Below are 27440 nucleotides of genomic sequence, written 5' to 3'. Positions count from 1 at the left end.
TTGTAGAAACTGAAAATTGAATTAGTGAAAAAAGTGCAATAAAAAACTTACTTATAATAAAATAATCTATCAAAAGGTTTACTATCTTTAAAGTATAAATCTCAATTTGCATAAGGCCTTTTTCCCAACCAGTTTTAAGTGTTTACCAAGTCAAACAGATTATTCAAGATCACTTCTTGCGGAATAATGAAAGCACCTTCCCAGTTAAATGTTTTAGAGATATCATGACAATAACTTTATTCTACAGTCATATGGGAAATTTGGATTTATTTATTTGTTGGACATTTGTGTATTATCTTTTGTCTATTTAATTTGCCAAGAATTAAGAGATGGACAAAAATTCACTGGAAGTACTGAATTTTTGTCCATTTCATATTTCTAAAATATTTAACTTCTAAATAACTTGATATTATTTGGTATATAAAAGTTCATGGTTATGCTGTCAATGGATTTTATATTTCATCAATAAAAAATGACTATGTTTATCCCTAGAGAAATGTGTTTTAGTATTTAATTCTACTTTGCATGCTATTAATAAAAAGCAAACATTGCTTTATTGAATCTGCCCTTTCCTTTTAATTCTCAGCTTTGTGGATCACTTTCTTTTAAACATATATTGTATATAGAAAATAGAATTTTTTAACCCAATGTAATAATATTTGTCTTTTAGGACTAAGAATGAGGAAAGTAATCTTGCATATCAACTGCTTGTGCTAACAATGTTTTTTGAGTACCTACTTTGTGCAAAGCATTGTATGTTATTAAAAAAATTAAAAATAAGAAATGGTCCTTACAGATGAAAAAACTGAGAGGGAGAGAGAGAGAAAGAGAGAGAGAGAAATGGTTCTGACCTCTACAATCTCATAATCTAGTACAAGTATTCTTAACCTAGTAATCCATGAATGAGCTTTTCCTCTAAGATCTGAAACAAGACAAGGATGCCTACTTCCACCACTTTTGTTCAACATAGTTCTGGAAACCTTAGCCACAGTAATTAGGCAAGAGAAAGAAATAAAGGGCATCCAAATTGCAAAGGAGGAAGTCAAATAGTCCCTGTTTTCAGACAATATAATCATACATATAGGAAATCCCAAAGACTCCACCAAAAAAAAATTAGAACTAATAAATGAATTCAGTAAATTTGTAGGATACAAAATCAACATACAAAAATCAGTAGTGATTCTATATATAAATAATGAACTACCTTAAAAAGAAATCAAGAAAGCAATCCCATCCACAGTAAATACAAAAAAAAAGAAAAAAAAAATCTGCCTAGGAATAAGTTTAACCAAGGAGGTAAAAAATCTCAACAAAGGAAACTGTAAAACACTGATGAGAAAAGTTAAAGAAAACACACAAAAAAGAGAAACACCCTGTGTTCATGAACTGGAAAAATTAATATTGTTAAAATGACCATACAACCCAAAGTGATCTACAGGTTCAATACAATCCTTATCAAAATACCAATGGTATTCTTCACAGAAATAGAAAAAACAATCCTGAAATCCATATGGAAACACAAAAGACACCAAATTGCCAAAGCAATCCTGAGCAAAGAAAACAAACCTGGTGGCATCACACTACCAGATTTCAAAATATACTACAAAGCTACAGTAACCAAAACAGCATAGTACTGCCATAAAATCAGACATATAGACCAATGGAACAGAACAGAGAACATCCATGTATTTATAGCCAACTGATTTTTTACAATGGTGCCAAGAACATTCATTGGGGATAGTCTCTTCAATAAATAGTGCTGGGAAAACTGAATCTCCATATGCAGAAGAATGAAAACAGACCCCCATCTCTCACACTACACAAAAATCAACTTGAAAGGGATTAAAGACTTAAATATAAGAACCCAAAACTATAAAATAATTAGAAGAAAACATAAGGGAAACAGTTCAGGGCACTGGTCTAGTAAAAGATTTTATGAACAAGACCCCCAAAAGCACAAGCAACAAAAGCAAAAATTAACAAATGGCATTATATCAACCTAAAAAGCTTCTGCACAGCAAGGGAAACAATCAACAGAATGAAAAAACAACCTAAAAAATTGGAGGAAATATTTGCAAACTACTCACCTGACAGGGAATTGATATCTAGAACATACAAAACTCAAACAACTTAAGAGCAAAAAAAAAAAAAAACACCCCAAATAATCTAATTAAAAATGGGCAAACACAAATGGTCAAGAAACATGTTTTTAAAAAGCTCAACATCACTAAGCATCAGGGAAATGCAAATCAATACCACAATAAGATATCATCTCACTCCAGTTAGAATGGCTATTACCAAAAAGACAACAACAAATGCTAGCGAGGATATACAGAAAAAGGAACTCTTACATACTATTGGTGGGAATGTAAACTAGTATATCCACTATGGAAAACAGTATGGAGATTCCTCATAAAATTACAAATAGAACTGTCATATGATCCAGCAATCCCACTACTGCATATTTATCCAAGGGAAAGAATATCGGTATACTGAAGAGATATCTGCACTTCCATGTTTATAGCAGCATTATTCACAATAACCAAGAAATGGAATCAACCCAAGTGTCCGACAACAGATGAAGAGATGAAGAAAATATGGAACTATATCCTGTCTATAAGAGACTCACTTTAGATCTAATGACAAAAATAGACTGGAGTTAGCAGGCTGAAAAAAGAAACTGCATGTAAACAGTAACCAAATGAGAACACGGGAGGTCACAATTATATTAGGCAAAACACATTTTAAGTCAAAACCATTCACATTTCCATAAAAAAGAAAAGAAAAATATATATGCACAATGGAATACCATTCAGCCTTAAAAAGAAAAAAATTATGTCATTTACAACAACATGGATGAGCCTGGAGGACGTTATGTTAAGTCAATAAGCCAGGAACAGAAAGCTAAACACAGCATGTTCTCACTCCTATGCAGAAGCTCATAGAAGAGCTCTTCTCATAGAAAAGTAGAACAGAGGTTAGTAGGGGCTGGGAGGGGGGTTAAGGGGGCTTAGGAGAGATTTGCTAAAGGATACAAAATTACAGCTAGATAGAAGGAATAAGTTCTAGTGTTCTATAGCACTGTAGAATGGCCACAGTTAACGAGAACATATTGCATATTTTCAAGTTGACAGAAGAGAAGATACTGAATGTCCCCAACACAAACAAGTGATAAATATTTGAGATGATGGATGTGCTAATCACCCTGATCTGATCACTACACATTGTATCAAAACATCACTATTGCCCCATGAATATGTGCAACAATTGTGTCAATTTAAATTTTTTTTTAATTTAAAAGATAAAGTTAAGCATTCTGTTATATAGTAATAAGCTTGTCACAACATTCTACTTTCATAATGGAAGATAGCCAAAGTTCTCTGTACAGTCATGCGCCATGCAATGATGTTTTGGTCAACACAAACCACATATATGACAGTGGTCTCTTAAAACTATATTGGAGCTGAAAAATTTCTATCGCCTAGGATTTACTATACCATACTTTTTATTGTTATTATAGAGTGTGCTCCTGCTATTTACTAAAAATAAAAATACATATTTTATACATATTTTATTTTATAAAATATATTTTTATAGATAAAAATATTTTTAAAGTATAAAAAGTAAAAACATAAAAATTTAAATTGAACAAAAGCTTACAGAATAAGGATATAAACTATTGCTGTACAGCTGTATATTTGTTTTAAGCTAAGAATTATTACAAAAGAGTCAAAAAGTTTTAAAAAATTAAAGTTTATAAAGTAAAAAAAGTTACAGTAAACTAAGGTTATAACTGAAGAAAGATTTTTTAATCAACTTAGTGTAGCCTAAGTGCACAGTGTTTATAAAGTCTACATAGTGTACAGTAATGTCCTAAGCCTTCAGTAGCCTTTTGGACTGCTTTATTTTCTGAGGCTTACTGTCTGCCAGGGTCTAAATTCAAATGATCTTCAATTATCTGCAAATAGCTTTCTTCTTCACATCAAGTGATATAAGAAATAATATAATAAACACCCATGTAGCTACCTCTCGGTTTAAGGAATAAACTATTACCAATTTGGCTGGAGTCCTCTGTGTATACTCTGCTCATACTCATCTCTCTCCCCTCATCCAGAAAGAATAACCTCTAGCCTGAACTCAGTATTTACCATGTTCATCTTCCTTCAACTCTAACATTTTTCAAAAGTCAAAAAGGCCACCTTCCCACTAAGCACAAAACAACTGATCACAAATTATGCCTTCAAAATGTTCCCAAAAAGCTTTGTTAAATGAAGCTGTGTAAATACTAGAGATATCAATCACCCATAGTCCCCTAGTCCTTTTCTCTAGGGAATTACCCCTATCCACTACTGTGATCCACAAAGACCTGCCCCTCACCCCAGCTCTAGCTGACTGGATAAGGCCTAAGGAAGCGACTCAAAAGCATCCTATCCAGTCCCGGAAAAACAGACTGCAGAGTTTTGGAATTGAAAGGATAAGCAACGGAACATGAGCTATAAGGAGCCAAGCTGAAAAATACAATGAAAAACAAAGAGGAAGATCAAAGAAAAACAAATAAAAGTGGCCCCAAAGAAAAGGAAAAAGTGGTCTTGTTCTTGACAATTTTCCAGTTCCCATAATGCTAGTACCTCATTTTCTGCTCTTGCATTCTTTGAGGCCTCTCTGAAGTCTTAGAACAAATTTCCCTTTATTTGAGTTTCCTTACGGGGGAAAAATAAAAGATAAAAACCCACAGAAAAAGAGGATCCAACAAAATAGTATCATTCATTTCAAACCTCTAAATCATGTACTTAGAGAGAAAAAAGCTATTAATGAAAAATATATTTGAAATTCATTTCCTATATTTCATTTCTTGTATTTCTTACATTCATATATTTCTTTTTTTTTTTTTTGAGATGGAGTCTCACTGTCGCCCAGGCTGTAGTGCAGTGGCGCGATCTCGGCTCACTGCAAGCTCCACCTCCCAGGTTCATGCCATTCTCCTGCCTCAGCCTCCCAAGTAGCTGGGACATATATTTCTTAACACATTTTTTGTAGCATACTGGAAATGAATCTCAAATATACTACAAAAAAAGTGTTAAGAAATGTACTGTTTTTAAGAGACAGAATAGAGAAAATACCCCAAAATGAATGACAGTTCCTCTCAGAGATGTGTGCAGGGTTTTCTCTGGTCATCAGAAAATGTTTTCTTTTAAGCCCACTGATAAAATGTTGCTTTTATCTTTCACTTTGTTATGAACAGTCCTTCAACTAAAAAGTCTATGTTTTTTAAACCAAAAATTGGAGTATAGTCTAAAAAGCTATTTTTTTTTCTGATTTACAGGCTTATTCTTATGAAAGTCTTAGAACAATTTAAACATTAAAAAAGAATTGTATCTGTCTAGAAAACCTAGGAAATATGCCTACATTCTAGTAATACAATTTTCCAGTCAACAGGCATACAACACTAAGTTATGAATATTTGGGATCTTAAACTTTCACCTTAAAACTCTCACTACTCTTGGGATTCGTAAAACATATTTCTCCTGTTTCCCTTGCCTCTTGATTGTTTTTTTCTCTTACCTCTCTTAACTCCTGATGGGTTCTCTACTTCTGTCTAATTCATCAATGGTAACATTTCCAAGGCTTTTTCCTGGGCCTCTTGTTCTCTAGCTCCTTCTACCCAGGCAACCTCACGTACTTTCATGGCTTTATTTCCTAAATGTTCTATTTCCTCCTTAGATCTATTTCTGAGCTCTAGATGCAAGTTTTCAGTCTATTAGATGTCTATCACCAAGCACCATTGGCACCTCAAATTTTTCATGTTCAAAACCAAATAAATTCATTATCTATCTTCAAAATTTTCTTCTTGTACTCTTAATAAATTGGATTAACATGCATCCAATTCATCTTTGACATTCCTATCTCTCCCACGTTCCATCATATACTTAGTTATCATATCATTTATACCTTTGTTTCTTTATTATATGTAAAATATGCCTCATACATAAAGCTATTTGTAAAAAAAAAAATTAAGATGTTTCTCTAATTTCTTTCTTTCTTCCCCTTGCCTCTGTTCAAAGCATCATCTTTAGCTTAAATTATGGTAAAAGCTTCCTAAATTATCCTGCTCCTAAATCCATTCTCCATACTGCAATCAAAGTTATCGTTCTAAAACAGAACCTAGCAATTCTGATTTTATAACTCTTCAATGACTATCATTTATGGGACAGAGCTCCAAACTCCTTAGCATGATGGACACTTGGAGACCTTCACAACATTAATTTACAGTCTCATCTTTTTATTTTTTTTTAAGCAAAACTGTATAACTACTTTCCTGTCGAATAGGTATATCTAGAGTACACTTTCTGAATATCCAGAAAATTTCATTATCTCCACATTGTCTTTTCCTAAATTTTATCTGGCAAGAATGCCCTTCAAAGCCAAACTCTAATGTCATCTCCTATAAATCTTTCCCAAACTGGCTCTTAATAAAATTAGTACTTCAATTAGTACTTCTCTGTTTCCTATAGTATTCTCTTCATTTTTTCCTTTTCTTTTTTTTTCTTTTTTAGAGACACGGTCTTGCTCTGTCACCCAGGCTGGAGTACAGTGGTGCAATCATGGCTCACTGTAGCCTGAAACTCGTGGGCTCAAGCGATCCACCTGCCTCAGCCTCCTGTGTTGCTAGGACTACAGGCATGCGCCACCATGTCCAACGAATTTATCTTATTTTTTTAAGAGACAGATCTCTCCTGTTGCTCAGGCTGTTCTTCAAATCCTGGCCTCAAGCAATCCTCCTGCCTTGGCCTCCCAATGCACTGGGAATACAGGCATGAGCTACCATGGTTGGCCTCTGTTCATTTTTCATAGTTCTTGTCATTATATATACATACACACATACATATATCATACATAATTCATTCATTCAATGAACATTCACTGAGCACTTATGGCTCACAATCAAGTAGAGGAGAGACACACATAAACAAATAGTATACAATATAATGAGTGCTGTAATAGAGTTACAAATAGCATATATGTATCAGTCTCCCCACAAGGTTGTGTGGTCCTTAAGGACTGTATCTTCTTACCCATCTAGAGATCAACAGAACCTTCAATGAACAGATGAACAAACGGCAGCATTAGAAGCTGTTATGAGCTCCATTTAAACAGAAAAAAATAGGCCAGGCACAGTGGCTCACGCCTGTAATCCCAGCACTTTGGGAGGCCAAGGCAGGCGGATCACAAGGTCAGGAGATCGAGACCATCCTGGCTAACATGGTGAAACTCTGTCTCTACTAAAAATACCAAAAAATTAGCCAGACGTGGTGGCAGGCACCTGTGGTCCCAGCTACGTGGGAGGCTGAGGCAGGAGAATGGCATGAACCCGAGAGGCAGAGCTTGCAGTGAGCCGAGATCACGCCACTGCACTCCAGTCTGGGCAACAGAGCGAGACTCCATCTCAAAACAAAACAAAACAAACAAACAAACACCAGCAACAACAACAAAAAAAAAACAGAAAAAAATAAAGGAGAATCAAAGGCACAGCTGCCAGTGGAAGGATGAATGGTGAAGAAGGAGGTATGATGGGTCAACAGAAGCGTTAAGAAACATGATCTCAGAAGCAGAAGAGGTAGTTAAAGGGCCAGGCTGCAAAACCACTCATAAGAAAGAAAGAGGAACAATTAACATATTTATCACTACGGCAGTAAATGAGGGGGAGAAAAAGAAATTGAAAAAATAGAAAATGAAAAGAAATGAAAAATAAGGAAATGAAATTCACATACTATTTTGCAAGTAGCCTGTAAGAATACATAGTAAAATAAACTACAAGGAACACACACACAAAATTTGACCCGCTGATAACAGGGCAAAGAAAAGCGCTACAAGTAGTCACATAATAAGCTAAATATATGATGTCATGGAAATAATGGGAGCCGTTTGATAAAGGCATGTCATCATTAATGTGCAATAAATCAGAAAACTGGAGTAAAAGATAATACTACTGCTCTATCACCAAGTAAAAGCCTAATTATGATTACACTAAAAAAAAGTATAAGAAATACATATAAACGTTACTGGATACTCATTTATACACTCACTGACAGGAACAGGGTGATTAACAGTTAAACTGGAACAATGAAAACACTGCCATCTAGATTCACTGAACAGCAGAAACTACTCAGAAGGGAAGACATTTCTCTCAGCTACCCATGCAAAGCAAAGATTGACTACTAGGTCTATGGCTTCAACCTCACAAAAAATGTTAGTGTTTCTTAAAAGGGAATGATGTACATAGATTATTTGCAGGAATTACTAGAGGGGTACCACTGCTGATTATTAGGCTACAACTTAGAAAACATATTTGCCTTGTTAAAAATGTTGTACCTATTGCGGCCGGGAGAGGTGGCTCACGCCTGTAATCCCAGCACTTTGGGAGGCTGAGGCAGATGGATCACGAGGTCAGGAGATCAAGACCATCCTGGCTAACATGGTGAAACCCCGTCTCTACTAAAAATACAAAAAATTAAAGGGGTGTGGTGGTGGGCGCCTGTAGTCCCAGCTACTCGGGAGGCTGAGGCAGGAGAATGGCGTGAACCCCGGAGGCGGAGCTTGCAGTGAGCCGAGATCATGCCACTGCACTCCAGCCTGGCGACAGAATGAGACTCTGTTTCAAAAAAAAAAAAAAAAGTTAAATACACTCAGTGTCCATTTAGACTCTGACTCTTCAAGCAACTCCAATGTGGTTGCCATCCCCATTTCTGAATAACTCTCATTAAAATCACCAAAAACCTCTTCATCTCCAAATCTAATGGGTATTTTCAATCCTCAACCTACTTGACCTCCTGGCAGCTTCATTACAATTGACCACTCTCTAAAAACACTCTTTTCGGCAGGGTGTGGTGGCGTGTGCCTGTAATCCCAGCTACTCAGGAGGCTGAGGCAGGAGAATTGCTTGAACCAGGGAGTCGGAGGTTGCAGTGAGCTGATATTGCACCACTGCACTCCAGCCTGGGTGACAGAGCAAGACTCCCTCTCAAAAAATAAAAAATAAAATAAACAGCACTCTTTTCCCTTGACTTCTATACACTACACTCCATACACACATTTTCCATACATACTCTTTTCCCTTGACTTCTATACACAACACTCCATACATACAATACATACATCTTCCCACTTCTCTAGTTCTCTTTCTCAGTCTCCTTTACTAGCTAGTCTTTCTCCATATGCCTTTTAAACCTTGAAGTTCAGGAGGATTTGACCTTCAGCTTTTTTGCTTCTAACACTATACTCTCTCGCTGGGCGACCTCACTCTTGCAAAAGGCTTTCAAAACCACCTACATGCCAATGACTACCAAAACATCAGATTTTACCTCTAATATCCTAACCCACATATCAAACTGCTTATTTAGAAATCTGAAAGGCACATTAAACTCACCATCTCCAAGAGCCAGCTCATTATCGCACAAAAAACAAACGAGGTATTCCTTATCTCAGTCATCCAGCTGCATAAACCAGAAACAACTACAAGAAAAGGTGACCTCAAGAAGAGATGACCATATGACCTGTAAGGTTCTTTTCTACTCTGAAGTTATAATCTATACTACCAGTTCTCAAAGTATGGTTCAGGGATCTTTGAGGGTCTCTCACACTCTTTCAGGAAGCATCTTTGAAATCAAAACTATTTCCATAATAATATTAAGACTTTGTCTTTTTTTATTCTCATTCTCTTATGAATGTACAATGGAGTTTTCCAAAGGCCACATGACATATGATATCACAGCAGACTGAATGCAAACAGAAGCAGATATGAGAATCCAGATGTCTTCTATTAAACCAGACACTAAAAAGAGTTGAAAAATGTCAAACAATGCCACTCACTGCTTTTTATTGTTGAGATACAGTTAGTTATTTTCCATTTTAAAATGTTAAGCCCAGGTGCAGTGGGTCACACCTGTAATCCCAGCGCTTTGGGAGGCCAAGATAGGAAGATTGCTTGAGTCCAAGAGTTCAAGACCAGCCTGGACAACAAAGTGAGACCCAGTGTCCACAAAAAAAAATTTTTAATTAGCCAGGTGTGGTGGCATGCACCTGTAGTCCCCACTACTCAGGAGATTGAGGTTGGAGGATCACTTGAGCCTTAAACGTCAAGACTGCAGTGAGCTATAATTGCACTACTACACTCCAGCCTGGGCAATGGGGTGAGACCCTGTCTTAAAAACAAAACAAGGCAGGGCGCAGTGGCTCACGCCTATAATCTCAGCACTTTGGGAGGTCGAGGCAGGCAGATCACCTGCAGTCAGGAGTTCGAGACCAGCCTGGCCAACATGGTGAAACCCAGTCTCTACTAAAAATACAAAAATTAGCTGGGTGTGGTGGCATGTGCCTGTAGTCCCAGCTACTTGGGAGGCTAAAGCAGGAGAATTGCTTAAACCCGGGAGGCAGAGGTTGCAATGAGCCGAGATTGCACTGCTGCACTCCAGCCTGAGCGACAGAGCAAGACTCTGTCTCAAAAAAAAAAAAAACAAACAACAACAACAAAAAGTTATTATTTTAACATGTAATAGGTTTATCATTATTTTAAATAAACTAACAAGTACACTGAAAATTTCAAATACAGTAAACATCAACAGATAAATCCCACATGAACAAAATCTTTTTGAGTCTTCCATAAGTCAACTGCATGAGGCAGTCTTATACCAAAACATCTGTGAAACAATGATCTATACCTGTGGTGTGTATACACAAGTAAGATATAAGATGACATTGTGAAATAGCCAATTCTCAATTATCTTCTAACAGCAAATTTTTCTTTCACATGTATTGACAGTGTTTTCATCCAATCACATAGTTTCATTTTGCTCAATATTTATTGGCCTCCTACTAAGTGCCAGGCATTAAGGGACAAAAGATGAAAAAAATGACTTCATTCTGGCTCTTAGAATATTTTCCACACCTTTGCTACATTTCAGTTCTCTGATCTATATCAGATCTATGATAGGTTAAGAAAAAGTTAACTGAAAGGTTAAGAAAAGACAACTCTGCAATATTCCTACTATCTATCCTCAACATAAAATGGACAAATGGTAAATTTAGTAAGGACCAGCAGACAAAAAAGTGGAAAATACTCAGTTATAACTCAGATCTATTACACTGTTCCAAGTAAATTCCAGAATAACCAACAGTCCTATAACATATTCTAATATACCACTAATCTGAGAATTTAGTCTCACCTGTTTCTACTTATAAAATATAAACCTCAAAAACTACTTTTACAAAAACTGAGTGACTTACTGTAATCCAGGAAATCCAGAAGATACTATGTAACATTAGTACTATTTTGGCCTTTGCAGCATAGGAAGTAGAGTAAGGATAAAAGAGAACACAATGTCCCACACTGATGAAATAAAGAGCTAAACTTCGTAAACAAGACACCCATAGTTTTTTATTTTAGGAGAGCTGAGGGCAGCAAACAGGACCAGAAATAACCAAAAGAAGGGGGGAGCCCTAAAAATAGGCCTACACTTTTGCTTACTCACTATCTAGTTATCCTGAGTACTTTTCTAAATTAATTTCAAGGAATATATCTACAAAAAGGTGTCTTACAGTTTGCAAGTCAGGATTATTTTTTGCCTAAAAGTATAAAAGTTTCACTATAAAATTTTCCCTTATACATAAGAAAGTGTTACTATTAGTTAACTCCAAGGAGAGGAAGTGAGGGTCCAGGATAGGAAGTAGATTTTTCAGTGTATATTTTTTTTATTTTTTAGAAGACAGGGTCTCATTGTTGCCCAGGCTAGTCTTGCTGAATTCCTGGGCTCAAGCAACCCTCCCACTTCAGCCTCCCAAGTAGCTGGGATTACAGCACACACCACCACACCCAGCTTCTGTTTCTGAATTCTTTTTTTAAAGCAGACACACTGATCACTTTTTGAGGAAAACTTCAAGGAAAAAAGAAATAATTTGTTTTTGTCTTTTTTAGAAACTGCTGCTTATTTTCCATCAACCCTGTTTCCATGTTGCTTAAGAGTCCATGCAAGAACAGCTTAAGGCCAATTCAGTGCTTATTCCTACCCATTCAGTGGCCTGAGCAGTGGGAGCTGTAGACCAGTCTTCTGAGCACTCCAGTCTTTAGTAGGAAACTGCTGAATAGGCACAGAGGGCACCCGCACGCCCTCAGACCAGTCTGCAACCTCAGGCTGAGTAGTGTTAAACTCCAGAGCTGACACAGTCCATTCACCCTAAAATTCTTCCTTGGTCACAGCGTTTTCAGCAGCAGCCTGCTCTGCTTTTTCAGTCTCTTCAGGATCTCTGTAGAAGTAGAGATCAGGCATGACTTCCCACGGGTGTTCACAGGAAATGGTGGCACACACACACAGAACTTCCCCGGCCAGCACCCACCATATCAAACCCACTGAGTGAGCTTCCTTATTGTTGCACGGGATGGCAATGTCCACACAGCGCAAAGGAGACTCTGTGTTACACAGAGCAATGGTAGGTAGGTTAACCTAAGATGCTTCAGTTTGAGGCTGGTGGTCAAACCACCACAAGCCATGGCTCCCGGAAGGCTGCCTGGATCTGGTTAGTGAAGGTTCCAGGAGTAAAGCAGTCAGCAATTGGAGTGGCTCCAGTGGCAGCAGCAAACTTCAACACAGCCTTCTGGCCAGTATTTCTGCAGAATATGACACTGACATCAGCGGGGTTTTCAAAGGTAACAATGGCACGAGCTGCCAGCAGAAGCTTCTTTCAGGTCCTCTTCAGATTTATGATGTAGATGCCATTACTTTTCCTTTTATAGATGTACTGTTCCATTTGGAAGTCAAGGCTGGTGCCATCTAAGTGGGTTCCTCCTGCAAGGAACTTAAGGACATCAAGGCCTCTGGATATTGTAAAAGTTTCCCTTTAAGTTACAATGGGAATCCAGAACAACACTGTATGCACCCCTCTCTGGGTAGCGTGGAAAGCAAGATAATTTTCAAAAGTCTCCTTCCACGTTCAATAACTTAGTCAACTGAGAGGCTGTTTAAGGAAATGGAAACAATTTTTCTTTCATTGGAAGCCTTTAATGACTCCTTAATGCAGTATACTTGCTTCCTCTTTATGAATCCATCCACAGAATGTTATCAATTCTCTTTACCCCTCTGTACTATTATTTACATATCTGTCTCTTACATAAAACTGCAGAGATGCAGAGATATTTTATTCCTCTTTTTTTTTTTTTTTTTGGAGACAGAGTCTTGCTCTTGTCATCCAGGCGGGAGTGCAGTGGCGCAATCTCGGCTCACTGCAACCTCTACCTCCCGGGATCAAGCGATTCTCTTGCCTCAGCCTCCCTAGTAGCTGGGATTACAGGCACATACCATCATGCCCAGCTAATTTTTATATTTTTAGTAGAGATGGGGTTTCGCCATGTTGGCCAGGCTGGTCTCGATCTCCTGACCTCAGGTGATGCACCCGCCTTGGCCTCCCAGAGTGCTGGGACTATAGGCCTGAGCCACAGCACCTGCTCTTATTCCTCTTTATATCCCTAGTTCACGCACAGTATATAGCCACATTGAGTGCTCCAGACCTGTTTGCCAAATGACAGTACCATTGATAAGTCTCAGAATCCAATTCTTAAATGCAAAAAGGCACAAATACACATATGAAGCCAGGTATTTCATATAACATGAAAAGGTTAGACATTCCTAAGCAGAAAATATCTTACACGGTAACACGTAAAAAAATAAGTATACGTGTGCATACATATTTTATATTTTAAAACAATCTCAAAATTAAAAATAAATTCTTTCATAAAATATTTTCACTTTTAAAATTTAGACATGAAATAATGAATGAAATGAAGCCAGCTGGGCCCGGTGGCTTACACCTGTAATACCAGCACTTTGGGAGGCCGAGGTGGGCGATCACCTGGGGTCAGGAGTTGGAGACCAGCCTGGCCAACATGGTGAAACCCCATCTCTATTAAAAATACAAAAATTGGCTGGACGTGGTGGTGCATGTCTGTAATCCCAGCTACTTGGGAGGCTAAGACAGGAGAACTGCTTGAACCCGGAAGGCGGAGGTTGCAGTGAGCCAAGATCACGCTACTGTACTCCCTCCTGGGCGACAGAGTGAGACTCAGTCTCAAAAAAAGAAAAGAAATGAAACATTAAGTTATAGCCAGTGCTATTACTATTACTTATCACTGATTTTTAGATATAGTTTTTAAAAAGGAGGGTGCCACAATTCCAGAAACAACTTCTACAAGCCCACTAACAACAACAAAAACTATAAATGGCTTTTTAAAAAAATCACCAAAACCCAAACTAATCAAAGATAAATCAGATTTTCTTTGGAAAAATATCCTTCTATTTGTACAAAGGTCTTCTTTACATCATTATTGCTCTATAACATTTAATAACTTATCATACAAAAATAGAGCAACTGTACACATTTTCAGAGATGATCTATTGTATAAAGTATAGTCTAAGAAGCCTCTCTGAACCTATTCTGGTTTGGAAGCTGGCTGATTTATGAACTCTTCTTTGCTCAATCAAATTCTGTTAAATTTAATTTGTCTAAGGTTTTTAATTTTAATAGATGGTGTCAGAAGTGGGATCCAAACTAAAGCTTCTAGCAACTCCCAGGAACACCAAGTGACAAAGCAAGGTACCCACTGGACTCATTTTGTCCACTGCTCTCTCAAAGCAACTGGAGATTGTGGGTAAGTTCTCTCTCAGATTCTGAAGCTCCATCAGTGTGCATTTGAGCTATCAGAGTTTGAGCAAATTTCTGATCCAAACTAGGTTTGGAAGTTACAACAGAAATTGGACTGGGTCCAGGATCCAACTGTATCTAACTGTCTTGGATCTAGTTAGAGGCCTCATATGTCTGGCTGGTTTAGACAGAAATTAGTATAAATGATAATACTGAAGGGGGTACCAATTTCAGCTTTCAGAAATTTGCATAGATTTTTGTGTTCTAGCCCCCTTTGTTTATTTTTCTTGCATGCTTAGGGAGGGAAAAATCATTGGCTAAGTTGATCAAAGGGATCCAAGGACCAAAGCTGCTATTCAAGGTAAAAATGGGATCCTTAATTTCTGAAGACCTGAGTACTACACCTTCCAGCTTATACATGCATTATTATTAGGCCTCAGAAGCAGCAAATGCTTACAAAAATGATGAAATCTTACTAAAGGTAATTTAAAATCACAACGGTACATTCCAAATGAACACTGCACTTTAAGAAGTACATTTGAAAATGAGGGCTCCCAAATCAGTCTCATCTAGGGATGCCTGTTGGTGTGCAGAAGCTTCTAAAAAGATTTCAATATTTTTATTGCTTTTTATAAAAAGACTCTTTATAGAAGGCAAATAAAAAGCTTAAGCAACTAATTGTTAAGAAAAATTAAATCTGCTAATCTTTCAGCTCCGTTACTACTCTTCCCTGAAGGTGAAAAGAAAGTTATCCTAGATAGCGTTTATAAAAGGTAGGTTGCCAGGTAAAGTAAGCTTCCTCCTTTTTCAGATCTATTTTTGCTGAGTCCAGGTACAGAGAAGGCTTTCTTTGCCCTATTCCTTAATGGGCTCCATCCTGAACTTAGTAATTTCAGCTAAGAAATAGTAGCTAGGTTAAAAAGATCACCTGTAGGCCGAGCACAGTGGCTCATGCCTGTAATCCCAGCACTTTGGAAGGCCAAGGAAAGTGGATCACCTGAGGTCAGGAGTTCAAGACCAGCCTGGCCAACATGGTGAAACCCCGTCTCTACTAAAAGTACAAAAAAAAAATTAGCCAGGTGTGGTGGCGGGCACCTGTAATCCCAGCTATTCAATAGGCTGAGACAGGAGTATCGCCTGAACCCAGGAGGCGGAGGTTGCAGTAAGCCGAGATTGCACAACTGCACTCCAGCCTAGGTGACAAGAGTAAGACTCTATCTCAAAAAAAAAAAAAAAAAAAAAAGAAAAGAAAAAGAAAAAAGATCACTTGTCCAATTAAAATAAACCTTTCTGGCATTTAGCTGGCTATTCTGAAATCCTTCTGTAAAAGAAATTTACATCTATAAAGGAGATTTCCATTTGTAAATGTATGTGCCTATATACATTAGAAACAGAACGTCAAAGCATAAAACTAACAAAGAAACTCTGGACTTAGACACTTGACCAAACGGACCTAACAGACTTCTACAGAATACTGTACCCAAAAATCACAGAATATACACTCTCATCTGCACATGGAACATTCTCTAAGATGGACCACAAGCTCAGTCATAAAGCAAGTCTCAATACATTCTTAAAAAATGAAATCATGTCAAGCATATTATCAGACTACAGTAGAATAAAATTAGAAATCAATACCAAAAGGAACTCTCAAAACCACAAATACATGGAAACTAAACAACTTGCTCCTAACTAACTTGGTTAAACAACAAATTAAGGCAGAAATAAAAAAATTCTTTGAAACAAATGAAAATAGAGAAACAAACATACCAAAACCTCTGGGATACAGCAAAAGCAATGTTAAGGAGAAAGTTTACAGCACTAAATGCCTACATCAAAAAGACAGTAAGATATCAAATTGACAACTTAAAGTTGAACTTAAAGGAACCAGAAAAAGAACAAACTAAACCCAAAGCTAGCAGAAAAAAAAGAAGTAACTAAGATCAGAGCAGAACTAAATTAATTGAGACCAAAACAAACAAACAAACAAACAACAACAAAAAAAACATACAAAGGATCAACAGAACAAAGTTAGTTCTTTGAAGGGATAAGCAAGATAGATAAACCTCTAAGTAAATTAAAAAAAAAAAAAGTGAGAAGATCCTAAGAAGCATAATCAGAAATGACAAAGGTGACAGAACTCATACTACAAAAATACAAAAGAGCCTCAGAGACTACTATGAACATCTTTATGTGCACAAACTAGAAAAACCAGAGGAAATGGATAAATTCTTGGAAACACACAACCTCCCAAGATTGAACAAGGAAGAAACTGAAATCCTGAACAGATCATAACAATTTACAAAATTGAATCAGTTATAAAAACAAATCTACAAACCAAAAAAAGACCAGGATCAGATGCATTCACAGCCAAATTATACCAGACAAACAAAGAAGAGCTGGTATCAATCTTACTGAAACTACTCCAAAAAATCAAGATCACACTGAATGGACAAAAGTTAGAAGCATCCCCTCTATGAACTGAAAAAAGACAAGGATGTGCACTCTTACGACTCCTATTCAACATAATACTTTCCATCCTACCCATAGGAATCAGGCAGAAAATTAAAATTTAAAAAAAGGCATCCATATAGGAAAAGAGAAACTCAAATTATCTCTGTTCAACCCTAAGGAGTCCTTCAAAAAACTCCTAGACCTAAGAAAAAGACTTCAGTAAAGTTTCAGGATGCAAAATCAACTTACAACAGTCAGTGGCATTTCTATATGCCAATAATGTTCAAGCTGAGAACCAAATCAAAAATGCAATCCCATCTATAATAGCCACATGAAAAATAAAATACCCAGGAATAAATTTAACCAGGGAGGTGAAAGATTTCTACAAGGAGAACTACAAAACACTGATGAAGGAAATAACAGATGACACAAACAAATGGAAAAACATTCCATGCTCATGGATTGGAAGAATCAAAATTTAAATGACCATACTGCCCAAAACAATCCAAAAATTCTATTCCCATCAAATTAGCAACATCATTTTTCACAAATTAGAAAAAACAATTCTAAAATTCATATGGAACCAAAAAAGAGCCTGAATAGCCAAGCAAAAAGAACACAGCAGGAGGCATCACATTACCCAACTTCAAACTATACTACAAGGATATCCTAACCAAAACAGCATGTTACCAATACAAAAACAGACATCTGTATCAATGTAACAGAATAGAGAACCCAGAAATAAAGCCATACACCTATAACCAGTTGATCTTGAACAAAGCTGACAAAAGCAAAAATGGGGAAAGGACACCTATTCAATAAACAGTGCTAAAAAGAAAAAAAAACCCAAAAAACACACAAAAAAACTGGCTAGCATGTGCAGAAGAATGAAACTGGACCCCCTACCTTTCACCACATACAAAAATTAACTCAAGACGTATTAAAGACTTAAACATAAAACCTCAAACTATAAAGATCCTATTTTAAAAAACCTAGGAAAAACTCTTCTGCACATGGGCCTAGGCAAAGAATTTATGACTAAAACCTCAAAGGCAAATGCAACAAAACAAAAATTCATAAACAAGATTTAATTAAACTAAAAAGCTTCTACATAGCAAAAGAATCAACAAAGTAAAGAGGTAACCTAAAGAATGGGAAAAAAATATTTGCAAACTGTACATCTGACAAAGGACTAGGATCCAGAATCTACAAGGAATCTCAAACAAATGAACAAGAAAAAAAAAATAACTCCATTAAAAAGTGAGCAATGGACATAAACGGATACTTCTCAAAAGAAGACATACAAGTGGCCAACAAACATATGAAAAAAATGCTCAGAATCACTAATCATCAATAAAATACAAATTAAAACCACACTGATACCATCTCACACCAGTCAGAATTGCTATTATTAAAGAGTTAAAAAATAACAGATGACAAGGATGCAGAGAAAAGGGAGTATCATACACTGCTGGTGGGAATGTAAATTAGTTCAACCCCTGTGGAAAAGAGTAGAGGGATTTCTCAAAGAACTTAGAACTATCATTAGACCCAGCATTCCCACTACTGGGTATCTATCCAAAGGAAAAGAAATCATTCTATCAAAAAGACACTGCACTAGTATGTTTATCACAGCACTATTCACAACAGCAAAGTCATTGAATCAAACTAAGTACCTATCAACAGTAGATCAGATAGGCCGGGAGCAGTGGCTCATGCCTGTAATCCCAGCACTTTGGGAGGCCGAGGTGGGCAGATCATGAGGTCAGGAGTTTGAGACCAGCCTGACCAACATAGTGAAACTCCATCTCTACTAAAAATACAAAAATCAGCCAGGCATGGTGGCATGTGCCTGTAATCCCAGCTACTCAGGAGGCTGAGGCAGGAGAATTGCTTGGACCCGGGAGGCGGAAGTTGCAGTGAGCCAAGATCACGTCACTGCGCTCCAGCGTGAGCAACAGAGCGAGACTCTGCCTCAAAAACAAAACAAAACAAACAAACAAACAAAAAACAGTAGATTAGATAAAGAAAATGTGGTACATATACACCGTGGAATACTACGTAGCCATAAAAATGAATGAAATCATGTCCTTTGGAGCAACATGGATGCAGCTGGAGGTCATTATCCTAAGCAAATTAATGCAGAAACAGAAAATCAAATATCACACCTTCTCTCACTTGTAAGTGGGGTCTAAACAATAGGTAAATATAGACATAAAGATGAAAATAAGATACTGTGGATTCCAAAAGTGGGAAAGGGCCGGGCGTGGTGGCTCACGCCTGTAATACCAGTACCTTGGGAGGCCAAGGTGGGCAGACCACTTGAGCTCACAAGTTTGAGACCAGCCTGGCCAACATGGTGAAACCCCATCTCTCCTAAAAATACAAAAAATTAGCCGGGCATGGTGGCTCGTACCTGTAGTCCAAGCTACTCGGGAGGCTGAGGCAGGAGAATCGCTTAAACCTGGGAGGCAGAAGTTGCAATGAGCCTAGATCAAGCCACTGCACTCCAGCCTGGGTGACAGAGACTCCATCTCAAAAAAAAAGGTGGGAAGTGACAGGTAAGGGGTAAAGGTTGAAAAACAACCTACTGGGTACTATGTTCGCTATTTCAGTGATAGGTTCAACAGAAGCCCAAACCTCAGCATGATGCAATATACCCATGTAACGAACCTGCACGTGTATCCCCCACAACCCAAATCTAAAATAAAAGCTAAAGCGTAGTCTAACTTCATTTATAACTAACCAGAGAAACAAACCGTATTAAAGCTGGACGTTAGGAGTCAACCAGCATCATATTATCAAGTGTGTAGTCATGACCCGTTAGTAGATTAAAACAAAACAAAACAATATCGTGGATTGGAGCTAGCATTTTTTTAATGGAACTAAATAGGATTGATTTGCAAATATCAAGTGTATTGAAGGTAGTGAGCGCTTTATTTTATTTTATTTTATTTTTGAGACACAGTCTCTCTGTCGCCCTGGCTGGAGTGCAGTGACGCGATCTCGGCTCACTGCAACCTACACCTCCCAGGTTCAAGTGATTCTCCTGCCTTAGCCTACTGAGTAACTGGGATTACAGGTGCGCGCCACCACGCCGAGCTAATTTTTTTGTATTTTTAGTAGAGATGGTGTTTCACCACGTTGGCCAGGTTGGTCTTGAACTCCTGACCTCAAATGATCTGCCTACCTCGGCCTTCCAAAGTGCTGGCATTATAGGCATGAGCCACCGCGCCTGGCCATGAGGCTGTTTAAAGTAAAACTTTGAAAAGTGAAACTTTTGATTCATTATATGTATACACATACACGTATAACACACATCTATTCTTTTTATTTAAAAAAATAAAAAATAAAGATAAATGTAAAAAATCAACCTTTGGGAGCACAGAACATGGAAAATATATATAGGTGTCCTGGTCAAAAGTTCAAGAGGTTCCTAAACTTTCTCAGTTCACAGACCCCTCAGTATGCCAGTTATTTTTTTCATGGAACCCCTAGGCCAAAAAAATACCTAACAGTTCCATTTACTAAGTAGTTCAGTCCACAACCTAAAAAGTATTTATAGCCTACCAACTTAGTAGCAGATCGAAAAATAAATATGTATAAATTGAAATAAATATTTTTATTACTAAATTACCACAACTACTTAATAGGATGTGTGTACCTACTAGATATTACACAAGTTCTCAAATCTTGAAATCATTTTGGACACCACCACCTTCATTTACTGTTCCAAATTGATTTTTGCATAGTACTTGCTTTTTATCACAGCAAACTCCCAAAACCTAGCGTTTGGAAGACACAGTGTCATCAAAAAAAATGGAACACAATCTCTTGTGTGGTATCTCAAACTGGTAGTTTGAGTAGTGTCCTATAGATGTCAAATATCCCACAGCTATCCAATATTGCTGTTTCCATTAAAATTTCTCAAATAATGCATAGTGTCCAGGTGAGTTACTATGGTGCTCCACAGTACGGCAGGTCCTCCATAACATAGTTTCATTCAATATCATTTCTTCACAATTTTGATGAGAAAAAAATTTTGATTTCCCCACCAGGGCTACCATCTATGTGGAGCCTGCATGTTCTCCCCATGTCTGTGTGGCTTTTCTCCGTATGCTCCAGTTTCCTCCCACATCAGAGAGGTGCACGCATTAGGTGAACTGACATGAATTGGCATGTCTATATGGTCCCAGTCTGAGTGAATGTGGGTGGGTGGGTGGGTGTGTGTGTGTCTGTAAATGCTACCTGCAATGGAATGGCAGCCTATCTTGTGCCCTACTTGCCGGGACAGGCTCCAGCCACCTGCCATCCTGAACTGAAATAAGTGGGTAATTATCTTGTTTTTAGTATTTCTTAAATGTATGCATAGGACCCATTTATTTCAATGTTTAATATTAGAGGTGTTTGGGGTCTTAGAAGTTGCAGTTTCCAAGTACTTATGGACAACATTAAGTGAGGATTTACTTCAGTGCACAGTTTAGGAATACTGGATTTAAGAAACACTGATCTAGCCTACGGGTTTACTTTGTAAAGTAAGAAATAAGACTTAAGGCTACAAAGCTAGGAGAAAAACAAATATATTTATTATAGATTTTCCTAAATTTCAACCTTCTGCCAACAAAAGTTTTTTTGTTTGTTTGTCTGTTTTGAGCCAGAGTCTTCCTCTGTCACCTAGGCTGGAGTGCAGTGGTGCAATCTTGGCTCACTGCAACCTCTGCCACTCAGGTTCAAGCAATTCTCCTGCCTCAGCTTCCCCAGCAGCTGGGATTATAGGAGCCTGCCACCATGCCCAGCTAGTTTTTTACTTTTAGTAGAGATGGGGTTTCCTTATGTTGGCCAGGCTGGTCTGAAGCTCCTAATCTCAGGTGATCTGCCCGCCTCAGCCTCCCAAAGTGCTGGGATTATAGGCATGAGACACCGCACCCAGCCAACAAAAGTTTTGTTTGTTTTGAGATGGAGTCTTGCTCTGTTGCCCAGGCTGGAGTGCAGTGGCAGTCTTGGCTCACTGCAACCTCCACCTCCCTGGTTCAAGCAATTCTCCTGCCTTGGCCTCCCCAGTAGCTGGGATTACAGGCCTGCCACCACGCCTTGCTAGTTTTCGTATTTTTAGTAGAGATGGGTTTCGCCTTGTTGGCCAGGCCGGTCTCGAACTCCTGACCTCAAGTGACCCACTTGCCTCGGCCTCTCTAAGAGCTGGGATTACAGGCGTGAGCCACCAAGTCCCAGCCCTTCCATCAACAAATGTTTTGACACAGGATCTAATTATGAGACACTCTGTTGATGAAATGTGTAGATCTCTAAAAATCACATTCAAAAATACATTTATATCACTATTTAATAGAAGAAAAAATTTACTTCCTTTTTTTAGAAAAAAGTTTCAAAAATTATAAAAGTGATTCTTACAATAAAACCATACAAAAATGTCTAAAGTAAAAAAGAAAAGTCATCCACTCCCTCAGGAATAACATGTTTAATGTCTATCCTTATAGACCTTTTTCTATTCACATGCAAAATGAAAACAAAACTACATTTGTCTATGTGTTTTTTAAATAAATCATATTCTATAGTATAGTGCAACTTATTTTTTCACTTAATTTTATATCATGAACATTCTTCCAAGTCAATACATAATTGTAACAGCAAACACTTATGTGGCGCTTATTAATGCTTATTTAGGGCCTAACTGTTAACTCATTTAATTCTCATGGTACCCCTGTAACATGAGAACTACTAGTATATCCAATTTATAGTTGACTTTAAGTAATTCGCCAAGAGTCACAGCTAGAAAGTAGTGCAGTTAGGTTTTGAATCCAGAAGGTCCACCGCATGGTTCCAGGAGCTGAAGGATATGCTCAGCTGCTGCTCATGAAGTAAATATAGATACCCTGAAACCTGTTAACAACTGCACAGTAATTCACAGCATAAAAATACTAGACTTTTAACTATTAGCCTACCAACAGACATTTAGGACATTTTTAAATTATTTATAAATGTTATTGACATCTTGAAATAATGCTAATATAAACATTCTTATACAATTCCTATGCTGTTAAAATTTATGTAACATAAATTTTAAGCAGGAAATGATTCTATCAAACAATATATATACTTTTAATCTTGATAGGGAATGCCAAATTTCCTTCCAGAAGGTTGCTCCAATGGTATCAATTTATAGTCCCAACTACAGAGGAAAGGGTTCAGATTCATTTTTAAGTTAACACTTTGGATTCATGAAAAAAAAGGCCCATTTTGAGTTTTTAATTAATACTGAATAGACTGCCAAGTTGATCACAATTATGTTCTGATTTTATAATTATCTGACATATTAAACAAATGTAGACTTAGCAGCTGTGCAATGGATTCTTCTCCCAGTTATGAAATCAACTATGCATGAGATATCGCCCCTATACAACCTTCTGTTTTCTTATGTATAAAATATGGGAATTGGACTAGCTGGCCTTGAAGAATTTAAACTCCCAATACTGAGATTAAGAAGTGACTTAAAGTTATTACAAGGCTATAATTATAGTACTAGTATAACAGGTTAGGGTCTTAAAGTTTATATTTTCTTTAAATTACCGTAACCTGTTGCCAGAGCACCTAGGCAAATCATTAAAATAGTAAATGAAGTTTCCACTGTGGCTTATTCCCAGTGGCTTTTTAATCCCAGGCTGTCATTCCCTTGCTACCCAGCAAATCTGAGCATATCTCTGGAATATATTCCCAAGAGTTGAGGTGTGCTTAGGAACTAAGAACTAGTCTTTTGTTTTGTTTTGCATTTAAAATATTATTCTGGGACTATTCTTTAGTCAATTTCTTCAATTAGTATTTATTGACTATGTTACCATATGCTAGGCACTGGGTGCATAATAGTGATTAAAGGATCTCTGCCATCATGGAACTTACAGACCAGATGAGAAAGGCAAAGAATAACTCAAAATAACCACAAGTAAATGTAAAATCACACTTATGATAACAATGAACAACAACAACAACAAATCAATACAGAAAAAAATACTATGCAATCTGATGATTTTTTTACACTATAACACTAAAATTTGCCTCATGTTGCAAAAATAACAATCACAATTATATGCAGAGAATTAACTTTTTAAATCATCAGTTGTCTCAACAATAAAATCATCAAGATATTACTACTTTTCAGTTATGTTACTGATCATGTGGCTTGAATGTTTGTTTTACATAACTAAGAGTATAAATGACTGAAAGAATAAAGATGACAGAACTGAGTATCCAAAGTGAAAGATAATAAATGAACTACACTTTAATAATCTTGTTCAAGCAAAAAGTATATACATAAAGAAGTAAGTGATCCATCATAATTCATGACTTGTCAATAATTAACAAAACGTTATAAAAATACTAATGTTTTTAAAGAACTGACGATCATCAGCATAAGGGGCAAGTGGCATGTAAAAAGGAACAAAAATAGAATAATTTTTTAATATTTTAAAATAACACCAAATGCCAGAGCACCTATATTAATATTTAGTTTAAAATAAAAATAATTCCACATTATCTGCAGAAATGAGAGGCATTCACATAAATGATCTTCCTTGTGTGTCAGTTTCCACGACTGCAAAATAAGGATATCTGCCATACCTACTTCACAAGATCACTGTGAAAACTAAATAAAATAATGTATATAGAAGCACACCAAAAACTGATGTCAGTTATTTTAGACTTCTTTTTTGCTCCCACTATAAATTATAGCAATTTAACAAATAAAATTGATTATAGCAGTACTTCATCTCCTTTCTTCTGCTCATATATGGTAGAAGTGTTATAAAATGGGCAAAAGACTGACAATCAGAAGCAGAAGGAAAAAATCCAAAAACTTTATAATTCATAAATTGATTGCCCCACAGAAGGTTGGCTGTTTAAGTATTAACGCTCTTACATGACACACACACCAATTTATCTCAGAAAATCAAAGAAATATGTTCACATACGTATGAAATTTTTTACATATACAACTTGCCATCTCTACATACACAAAATTTTGCTACTGAGGATGAAGAGATACAGAGATACACATGTATTTATCCACATATACAATGTATTCTAGCTTGAAGTTTATTTTCAGATTACAGTATCTTAAATTTAATGCACTGACAGTTCAAATGATTCAGATTTATTTCATTACATTAAATAAAATTTGTCAATTTAGCACACCGAAACTAATTATTATACGCCCATGGCTTTGAAGCAACTTCCAGCATGGGTCTAACAATCCCTCAAAGTCACAATTCCATGTCATTAGCAGTGCATTTCCTTGTTTAAAAACAATATATTAAACGAAGAAATTTTCAGAATGGAGGGCAACTTTTAGTATTTTATCATTGTTTCTACAGAACTTTTCAGATTGTTACTAGCTCTGCCAAAGATAGTCTTTCTTTTAAAACTCTTCAAATACAGGGCAGGAGGTATCGTTAACATGGCAACAATAACGACTTCCCCAAATTCAAAACAAGGATCACCATCAAAACAAAACAATCAGGTGGAGTACATGGATATTGATCACTATTTCTGACAACCTGTTTTTTCCCATATGAAGGATTTGCTACTGCATTAAAACATTAAAATCTATGCCTATGTGCAACTTTCTATCTGAATATTTAAAATCCAGGCAAATTCCAATTCATATCTTGTGACATTAGCTAAATATTACTTAGCATGTTGAGCTGCATTTAAAAGGCAGAGGAAAATACTGACAACTTCCAAAACATAAAGCCTTTTAAATCTTTCCCCAAATTATCTGTGAATAAACTACCTTCAGCAGCCGCTAGACTAGAGTAGATCAAAGTTTTCCCTATACTTGAGAATGTGATCCCCACTGAAAAGGAACAGAAACTGATCATCCCTGCCACTGGAGCCAGTCCCCGGAATCTCCCCAAATACGCCTGATCGCCAGATGAAGAAGGGACACTTCTCCGGGCAGCAAAGGCTAGAGGTATCTTACCTCTGCAGGCTAGAGGAGGGGTGGAGGAGGCGGGAGGACACTGGCACGTAAGGAAGGAAATTCCGTCTTCAGCAGGCACTGGTGGGACCCGAAACCTAGGTCCCCGAAAAGCCTCAGAACCCAGGGAGGTTCCCCGAGGGGGACGCCAAGCAGGGCCAAGACTCTCCGCGCCCGGCCCCGCCTCTCTTGCCGCCACCGGGGACCCGGGACCGCGGACAGAGACAGTTGAGGCTGAGCGAGACTCCGCGGTCCCAGCCAGGTCCTACAGGAGCTCACCTGAGAGTGTCGCCTCCGCCCTCGGCTACCACGGTGCATCCCGCGGAGCCTGGCGGAGGGTGCAGTGACGCCGCCCCGACCGGCCCCAGGGCTGCCCGGCCTGGCCTCCCCGCTCCGGGGACGCACCGGGTGCCCTCCTCGCACCGGCTCCGGGGATCCGCCGGTCCGCTGGGAAGGAAGACAAGGCGGAAAGGCTGCCTCCCCTCCCTCAGGGCAAGCCACCCCCCGAGCTGCGGCTCCCTGCAGTTCTCTCTGGCGCAGGTCTGGCCCCGCTCCCCGGCCCGGGAGTCACTTCGTCAGGGGCGGCCCAGTCGCCATTACAGCCCAACAACTGACACGGAGGAGGAGCGGCGCCAGCGGCAGCGGCTGTGGCGGCGGCGCGAGGCAGGGCGGGAGCAGTCGGGCCCAGGCAAACCTCGCGAGAACTGTCCCGAGACAGTGCCACAGGCATGCCAACCTTCGGTTAGGGCCATGTTGAGTGTGGCCGAAAGGTGGGAGCGAAATAAAACAAGGAGCAGAACCGCGAAGAAGCCATGTTTGGTGCGTCGAAGTTTAAACTCGTAGGACTTGGGAGGAGCCAAGGTATATCCGCAGAAGAGACCACCCCTGCCCTTTCGCTTTGACGCTCATTGGGCCTTTTGGCTGCGCATTTCACCCCGGGCTGAGAAAACAAGCTGGGGATTCGACAAGAATGAACTCAAAGTCTGGAAACGGCAGCTTCTGAGAGTTTACAATGTTTCACCAACTGTCGTCCAAATAAGTCGTCACCCCTGTCAGAGTAGTTGCAGCTCTGCCGTTACCCACTGCTGTCACTGTGGCCGTTTTATTCGCGAGGGTTACAGTTCTGTTTAGCATGCATCTAATGACTTAAGACTCCACGCAAGTAAAACGGAGTTTCCTCCCATTAAGTATTGGCTTTGCTTTAACAGTGCTTTGAGAGGCTCTCTGTGGCCAACATATCTTCTCATATCTTTGTCCTCGTTTCCCAATCTCCGCGTGGTGAAATCATCTATCAAGACTTGGCTTAAAGGACCTCTCT

General features: G+C 38.1%; 1 protein-coding gene and 1 pseudogene across 27 annotated transcripts in view, besides 3 other annotated features; both read right to left on the bottom strand.

The window, feature by feature from the left end:
- CEP350 (centrosomal protein 350) overlaps window positions 1–26734 on the bottom strand; it is a 160066-nt gene extending 133332 nt beyond the window's left edge. For 12 of the 27 annotated variants that reach the window (XM_047435384.1, XM_047435387.1, XM_047435401.1 and 9 more), the window contains exon 1: window positions 26126–26321. Coding sequence is in view for 10 of the 27 variants with exons in the window: in XM_047435442.1 (XP_047291398.1) it covers window positions 26402–26440 (39 nt within the window). In the remaining 17 variants the exon portion in view is untranslated. Of the gene's footprint in view, window positions 1–26125; window positions 26323–26401 lie in introns of those variants that run through there. The other 15 variants (NM_014810.5, XM_047435442.1, XM_047435459.1 and 12 more) reach the window with 3 other exon arrangements.
- Window positions 11963–12949, bottom strand: RPSAP16 (ribosomal protein SA pseudogene 16; annotated as a pseudogene).
- Window positions 26300–26749: a silencer, noted in NCBI's record as "silent region_1591". NCBI's record gives its function as "represses an Ori minimal core promoter by ATAC-STARR-seq in GM12878 lymphoblastoid cells {active_cell/tissue: GM12878}" and the evidence as "EXISTENCE:reporter gene assay evidence [ECO:0000049][PMID:35858748]".
- Window positions 26300–27038: a biological region, named in NCBI's record as "H3K27ac hESC enhancer GRCh37_chr1:179923641-179924142".
- Window positions 26537–27038: an enhancer, noted in NCBI's record as "H3K27ac hESC enhancer chr1:179923641-179924142 (GRCh37/hg19 assembly coordinates)". NCBI's record gives its function as "activates a minimal SCP1, AML or CMV promoter by ChIP-STARR-seq in primed H9 embryonic stem cells {active_cell/tissue: H9 hESC(primed)}" and the evidence as "EXISTENCE:reporter gene assay evidence [ECO:0000049][PMID:30033119]".

The sequence above is a fragment of the Homo sapiens genome, chromosome 1, assembly GCF_000001405.40.
Source record: "Homo sapiens chromosome 1, GRCh38.p14 Primary Assembly".
Taxonomy (NCBI): domain Eukaryota; kingdom Metazoa; phylum Chordata; class Mammalia; order Primates; family Hominidae; genus Homo; species Homo sapiens.
Note: the sequence above shows the minus strand (reverse complement) of the source record. Positions and strands in the feature narration are given on the sequence as shown.